Source organism: Homo sapiens, chromosome 10 (genome assembly GCF_000001405.40).
Source record: "Homo sapiens chromosome 10, GRCh38.p14 Primary Assembly".
In the NCBI taxonomy this organism is placed as follows: Eukaryota; Metazoa; Chordata; class Mammalia; order Primates; family Hominidae; genus Homo; species Homo sapiens.
This window is the reverse complement of record NC_000010.11, coordinates 112,590,253-112,597,960: the sequence shown is the minus strand read 5'-3', so window position 1 is coordinate 112,597,960 and position 7,708 is coordinate 112,590,253. Positions and strand designations below refer to the sequence as shown.

Below are 7,708 nucleotides of genomic sequence, written 5' to 3'. Positions count from 1 at the left end.
CTTTGGGAGGCAGAGGCGGGCGGATCATGAGGTCAGGAGATCGAGACCATCCTGGCTAACGCGGTGAAACCCCGCCTCTACTAAAAATACAAAAAATTAGCCGGGCGTGGTGGCGGGCGCCTGTGGTCCCGGCTACTCGGGAGGCTGAGGCAGGAGAATGGCGTGAACCCGGGAGGCGGAGCTTGCAGTGAGCCGAGGTCGCGCCACTGCACTCCAGCCTGGGCGACAGAGCGAGACTCCGTCTCAAAAAAAAAAAAAAAAAAAAAAGAGACAAGGTCTCACTATGTTGCCCAGGCTGGAGTGCAATGGCTATTCACAGGTGCAATCATAGCTCACTGCAGCCTCAAACTCTTGGGCTCGGCCATAGCTAGGACTATAGGCATGTACCACTGTACCTGGCTTGGTTGAAATTTACTTTGAATGGACAAAGAAAACACAGCCCAGGCCAGGTGTGGTGGCTCACGCCAGTAATCCCAGCTCTTTGGGAGGCTGAGGCAGGCAGATCACCTGCGGTCGGGAGTTCGAGACCAGCCTGACCAACATGGAGAAACCCTGTCTCTACTAAAAATACAAAATTAGCCAGGGGGTGGTGACGCACGCCTGTAATCCCAGTTACTCAGGAGGCTGAGGCAAGAGAATCGCTTGAACCCAGGAGGCGGAGGTGGCGATGAGCCGAGACCGCATCATTGCACTCCAGCCTGGGCAAAAAGAGTGAAATTCTGTCTCAAAAAAACAAACAAACAAAAAACAAACCACAGCCCAAAGAGGTTCCAAAAATTCCCAAAGGTTAGCGTAAGTGGAAATGTCAGGACTCTCTCCCCAGATCTGTTTGATTCTCAAACCTCCAGTTCAAGTTTGCTTCAAAGAATGAGAAGCAGATACCAACCTAATAAGTAAAACACAGAACCATCTGGCATTAGAAGAAAAAATAAGCTTCTTCTGATCTTATGGTATGGAAGGCTTTCCTGAGCATACATTCAAACGAAAAACTAATTTAAAAAGAAAGATTTGACTGTATCAAATTCACATGTCAATACTTCAAGAACAGAAGAAAAAGCTTACCAACAAATTTGAAAAAAGTATACCACAAACTTGACACAAAAGGGTTTAGAAGAGTTCTTATGTAAATAAGGAAGAGAAACATAAACACATCAGCAAAAAATTAACTTTTAATGAAAAAATAAGCAAAAGAATTACAGTTAAGCAATGTAAGAGAAATTATCAGCCTTACTCGTGACAAAGAAATGTAATAAAAAGTACAAGCATACCTTCTGCTCAATGTGAGAGAAGGTTTAGGGAAAGGAAAATTAAACTATGGTAGTGTTTTGGAGGAAAATTTGGTATAATACATTAAAAATCTTGAAAATATTATGTTTTTCAGCCCAGCAATTTTGTTTTTAAAAATTTATCACTAAGAAATAGCCAGAATTTGATGTAAAGAACTATGAATAACTATCCCTACTGCAATATTAGTTAAATAGTTTTAAAAACCCCAAAATGTCCAATAATAGGGGCCTGATCAAATAAGTTTATGGTATACTCATGGGATAAAGCAGTAGACAGCCGTTAATGTTTTTCAAAGCAGAATATTTGGTAAAATAAAAAAGTCTTCATACTATATTAAATTCTAAAAGCAGGCTTTTTTATTATTATATTTTAAGTTTTAGGGTACATGTGCACAATATGCAGGTTAGTTACATATGTATACATGTGCCATGCTGGTGTGCGGCACCCAGTAACCCATCATTTAGCATTAGGTATATCTCCTAATGCTATCCCTCCCCCCTCACTCCACCCCACAACAGTCCCCAGAGTGTGATGTTCCCCTTCCTGTGTCCATGTGTTCTCATTGTTCAATTCCCACCTATGAGTGAGAAAATGCAGTGTTTGGTTTTTTGTCCTTGCGATAGTTTACTGAGAATGATGATTTCCAATTTCATCCATGTCCCTACAAAGGACATGAACCCATCATTTTTTATGGCTGCATAGTATTCCATGGTGTATATCTGCCACATTTTCTTAATCCAGTCTGTCATTGTTGGACATTTGGGTTGGTTCCAAGTCTTTCCTATTGTGAATAGTGCCACAATAAACATACGGGTGCATGTGTCTTTATAGCAGCATGATTTATAGTCCTTTGGGTATATACCCAGTAATGGGATGGCTGGGTCAAATGGTATTTCTAGTTCTAGATCCCTGAGGAATCGCCACACTGACTTCCACAATGGTTGAACTAGTTTACAGTCCTACTAACAGTGTAAAAGTGTTCCTATTTCTCCACATCCTCTCCAGCACCTGTTGTTTCCTGACTTTTTAATGATTGCCATTCTAACTGGTGTGAGATGGTATCTCATTGTGGTTTTGATTTGCATTTCTCTGATGGCCAGTGATAATGAGCATTTTTTCATGTGTCTTTTGGCTGCATAAATATCTTCTTTTGAGAAGTGTCGTTCATGTCCTTTGCCCACTTTTTGATGGGGTTGTTTGTTTTTTTTCTTGTAAATTTGTTTGAGTGCATTGTAGATTCTGGATATTAGCCCTTTGTCAGATGAGTAGGTTGCGAAAATTTTCTCCCATTTTGTAGGTTGCCTGTTCACTCTGATGGTAGTTTCTTTTGCTGTGCAGAAGCTCTTTAATTTAATTAGATCCCATTTGTCAATTTTGGCTTTTGTTGCCATTGCTTTTGGTGTTTTAGACATGAAGTCCTTGCCCATGCCTATGTCCTGAATGGTAATGCCTAGGTTTTCTTCTAGGGTTTTTATGGTTTTAGGTCTAATGTTTAAGTCTTTAATCCATCTTGAATTGATTTTTGTATAAGGTGTAAGGAAGGGACCCAGTTTCAGCTTTCTACATATGGCTAGCCAGTTTTCCCAGCACCATTTATTAAATAGGGAATCCTTTCCCCATTGCTTGTTTTTCTCAGGTTTGTCAAAGATCAGATAGTTGTAGATATGTGGCGTTATTTCTGAGGGCTCTGTTCTGTTCCATTGATCTATATCTCTGTTTTGGTACCAGTACCATGCTGGTTTGGTTACTGTAGCCTTGTAGTATAGTTTGAAGTCAGGTAGGGTGATGCCTCCAGCTTTGTTCTTTTGGCTTAGGATTGACTTGGCGATGCGGGTTCTTTTTTGGTTCCATATGAACTTTAAAGTAGTTTTTTCCAATTCTGTGAAGAAAGTCATTGGTAGCTTGATGGGGATGGCATTGAATCTATAAATTACCTTGGGCAGTATGGCCATTTTCACGATGTTGATTCTTCCTACCCATGAGCATGGAATGTTCTTCCATTTCTTTGTATCCTCTTTTATTTCATTGAGCAGTGGTTTGTAGTTCTCCTTGAAGAGGTCCTTCACGTCCCTTGTAAGTTGGATTCCTAGGTATTTTATTCTCTTTGAAGCAATTGTGAATGGGAGTTCACTCATGATTTGGCTCTGTTTGTCTGTTATTGGTGTATAAGAATGCTTGTGATTTTTGTACATTGATTTTGTATCCTGAGACTTTGCTGAAGTTGCTTATCAGCTTAAGGAGATTTTGGGCTGAGACAATGGGGTTTTCTAGATATACAATCATGTCGTCTGTGAACAGTGACAATTTGACTTCCTCTTTTCCTAATTGAATACCCTTTATTTCCTTCTCCTAAAGCAGGCTTTTAAAAAAGGATCCATATTAAAACTTCCGGGGTTATGAGCTCAAATGTTTAGAGGATGATAACAAGTGCACGGTGTGAAGTGACCAAGTTTAAAAGATGGAGACCGGCCGGGCGCAGTGGCTCACGCCTGTAATCCCAGCACTTTGGGAGGCCGAGGCGGATCACAAGGTCAGGCAATCGAGACCATCCTGGCTAACACAGTGAAACCCCGACTCTACTAAAAATACAAAAAAAATTAGCCGGGCATGGTGGCAGGCTCCTGTAGTCCCAGCTGCTCGGGAGGCTGAGGAAGGAGAATGGCGGGAACCCGGGAGACAGAGCTTGCAGTGAGCTGAGATAGCGCCACTGCACTCCAGCCTGGGTGACAGAGCGAGACTCCGTCTCAAAATAATAATAATAAAAAAAAAATTAGCCGGGCGTGGTGGCGGGCACCTGTAGTCCTAGCTACTCAGGAGACTGAGGCAGGAGAATGGCGTGAGCCCGGGAGGCGAAGCTTGCAGTGAGCCGAGATTGTGGCGCTGCACTCCAGCCTGAGTGACAGAGCAAGACTCCGTCTCAAAAAAAATAAAAAAAATAAAAAAAAGATGGAGACCACATATCCTGAATAAACGAGTTCACACATACACAGCCTGCTAGCCTATGACGCCTGGTATTTACCAAAAAATGTTTAGACTGGTTGGTGGTTGATGGGATTATGAGTAATTTTTGATTTTTTTCTGTGTGCTTTTCTATTTTCCCTAAACTTTCCATATGAAAAAGAACCCCTTATTTTTATAATCAGAAAAATTCCAATGAATGTTATGAGATGGGAAAAAAGAGGCAATCACCTCGAGCTGGCTTTTCGTCAGAACTACTGACACCCACATGCTCTGAAGAGGTTTTTTCTGTGCTATTTGCAGAGCCCTCCCTGAGGAAGGGGATTTCACTGCCTTCACTTCATAATCCTATCTTTTCACCACGAACTCAGAAAATACACCAAAAACACAAAGCAGTTGTTCACAGTCTTCAGAAATAGCTGGGAAGCTTTAAAAAATATTGATGCCTACACCCGACCATTGGAGATTCTGACTCAATCGGCCTGGCATGGGGCCCCTGCACCAGTCATTTTTAAAAGTTCCTAAGCTCATTCTAATGTTGAGCGAGGGTTGAAAACTACTGGTCTAACCTAAACTTTTCAGAATGCAGTTTAATTTCACTTCTCACTGCTTTCTTTAGGAAGATGGGAGAGGAGATCATCCTCGCTTTTGGTATAAGATGACTGCATCTAGTTTTAGTATCTATTTGAAAGTATTACTCTGCATTCTCTCCTTTAAACTGAATAATCTCAATTGTTCCTTTCCTTCTTCAGACACCACACAGTCCTGCATTCAATAAACGCTCCTGATTATAGTCTTCACAGCACCATATCACTTTCCTTCATGGAACGTAACACAAGTCTAATTGTAGGTTTATCCACAGGATTCACTCGGTTAACACCTTCCTTTCTTCCTGTGGACTGAAAGATCCATTCAACTAAGAGTAACATCCAGTTTTATTTGCCATATATCCTCATAATTTGCTGATTGTGTAAATGTATATGGGCACCTTGTCTAACCATTTTTTTAGGTTCTCTGAGGATGACATATATTCCAAATGCAACATTTATAGAATTGGGCACCTACTGTGTGCAAAGTACTATGTCAAATAATATGTGGATGTAAATCAAAGCACGGATAGATCAAGTGCTGTGATTTGGTCAGGGAGAGATGAATGCAAATAGGTAAACTGATATGGAGTCTAATGAAGATGCACCATTGCGGAGGCAGAAACTCAATGGCATCAACAGATGCAGGAGTGATTTTTCTGATTGGGGCTTTCCCAGAAGCCTTTATGGAGGAGAGGTCCTTTGAGGTAAGCCTTGGAGGATGAACAGATGATGACTGTTAGCAATGGTGGGGGAAGGGCATTTTGGATCCATGTCTTCATTTCTTGTTGTTGCTGTAACAGATGACCAAAAGCTCGGTGGCTTAAAACAGTACATATTTATGATCTCACAGTTCTTTAGGTGAGAAGTCTGGTGGGCACTGCTGCTTCCTCTGCTCTGGGTCTCACAAGGCCAAGATCAAGGTGTTGCCCAGGCTGTGTTCATTTCCAGTGGTTGTGGGGATGTATCCATTTCCAAACTCCTTCTGGTTACTGGCTGAACTTGTTCCTTGTGATTGTAGGACTGGGGTCTTGGTTTCCCTGCTGCTTGTCAGCCAGCGAACTCTCTTGGCCCCTTACACTGTCTACCTTCCACGTCACATTGTCCCTTTACTTTTAGACCAGAGACGACATATTTGGTCCTTCTCACGTTCAAATCTCTGCATCTACCCTTTCTGCTGAATCTCTTCTGCCTCCAACACAGAAAGTTTTCTGCTTTAAAGGGCTAACATGATTGGATTAGGCCCACTGGTTAATTGAGGAAATCTCCTAACTTCAGGTCTGTTACTTTAATTACATCTGCAAACTTCCTTTTGGCATGTAATGTAAAGTATTCACAGATTACAGGGATTAAGGCATGGACATATTTGGAAGGGGACCCTTCTGCCCACCAAGTCAGGTAATCTGCAGGATGATCAGTATAATACAGTTGGGAATATAGCGAAGGAGCTTAAGGGCCTTGAACACCAGCCTGAGATGTCCAGATTTTACCTTGCCATAAGGAAAGGGTAAAGACCTTGAGAAGTTAAATTTCAGTATAAAACAATTAAACAGTACACAATTGTTTAAGTAAAGTATCTCTTCTTCGTTTTGTGTGTGTGTGTGTGTGTGAGACGGAGTCTCACTCTGTCACCCAGGCTGGAGTGCAGTGGTGCGATCTCTGCTCACTGCAAGCTCCGCCTCCTGGGTTAATGCCATTCTCCTGCTTCAGCCTTCCGAGTAGCTGGGACTACAGGCACCTGCCACCACACCCGGCTAATTTTTTGTATTGTTAGTAGAGACAGGGTTTCACCGTGTTAGCCAAGATGGTCTTGATCTCCTGACCTCATGATCCGCCTGCCTCGGCCTCTCAAAGTGCTGGGATTACAGGCGTGAGCCACCACGCCCGGTCAACAGTATCTCTTCTAACATAAACCTGAGTACCCAACAGAGAGGCTGAATTCCTGAGCTTTGCTTGCTCAGCTCCTGCCAATGCTGCCCAGAATGGAAATATCGTAGCTGAAGCTATTTCTTTCTTTCTCTTTTTTTTGAGACAGAGTCTCGCTCTGTTGACCAGGCTGGAGTGCAGTGATGCAATCTCGGCTCACTGCAACCTCTGCCTCCTGCGTTCAAGCGATTCTCTTGCCTAAGCCTCCGGAGTAGCTGGGGTTATAGGCATGTGCCATCATGCCCAGCTAATTTTTGTATGTTTTGTACAGACAGGATTTTGCCATGTTTGCCAGGCTGGTCTCAAACTCCTGGCCTCAAGTAATCTGCCCGCCTTGGCCTTCCAAAGTGCTGGGATTACAGATGTGAGCCACCATGCCTGGCCATATTTCTTTCTTGAGTTGTGGTTATCTCACTATACATTAATTATTATCTTGGGCATATACCTTCTGTTCTCGTTTCCAATCTCTGGGCTAATGAAATAAATAAATTTATTTTATTTTTATTAATATTATTATTGTTTAGACAGGGTCTCGCTCTGTCACCCATGCTGGAGTGCAGTGGCGTGACCACAGCTCACTGTAGCCTCGACCTCCTAGGCTCAAACAATCCTCCCACCTCAGCCTCCTGAGTAGCTGGGATTATAGGCATGCATGCCACCATGTCTGGAAAATTTTAAGAAGGGGTCTCACCATGTTGGCTAGGCTAATCTTGAACTCCTGGGCTCAAGGGATCCTCCCACCTCAGCCTCCCAAATTGCTGGGATTGCAAGTGTAAGTCACTGTGCCCAGCCTGCAATAAATAAATTTATACATCTCTTTCCCACATACACAAACATATATAGAGAGGATATTCTATCTGCCCATCTGTCTGTCTGTCTGTCTATCTATCTATCTATACATTCATCCATACAACCAATACTCCACTTTCTTCTTTATAACATTCTCTGAT

The 7,708-nt window shown here is 42.5% G+C and overlaps 1 protein-coding gene across 8 annotated transcripts in view; it reads right to left on the bottom strand.

The window, feature by feature from the left end:
• The window catches only part of VTI1A (vesicle transport through interaction with t-SNAREs 1A), a 408,381-nt gene that overhangs the window by 257,408 nt on the left and 143,265 nt on the right, over positions 1-7,708 (bottom strand). The gene's annotated exons all lie outside the window — the stretch shown is intronic.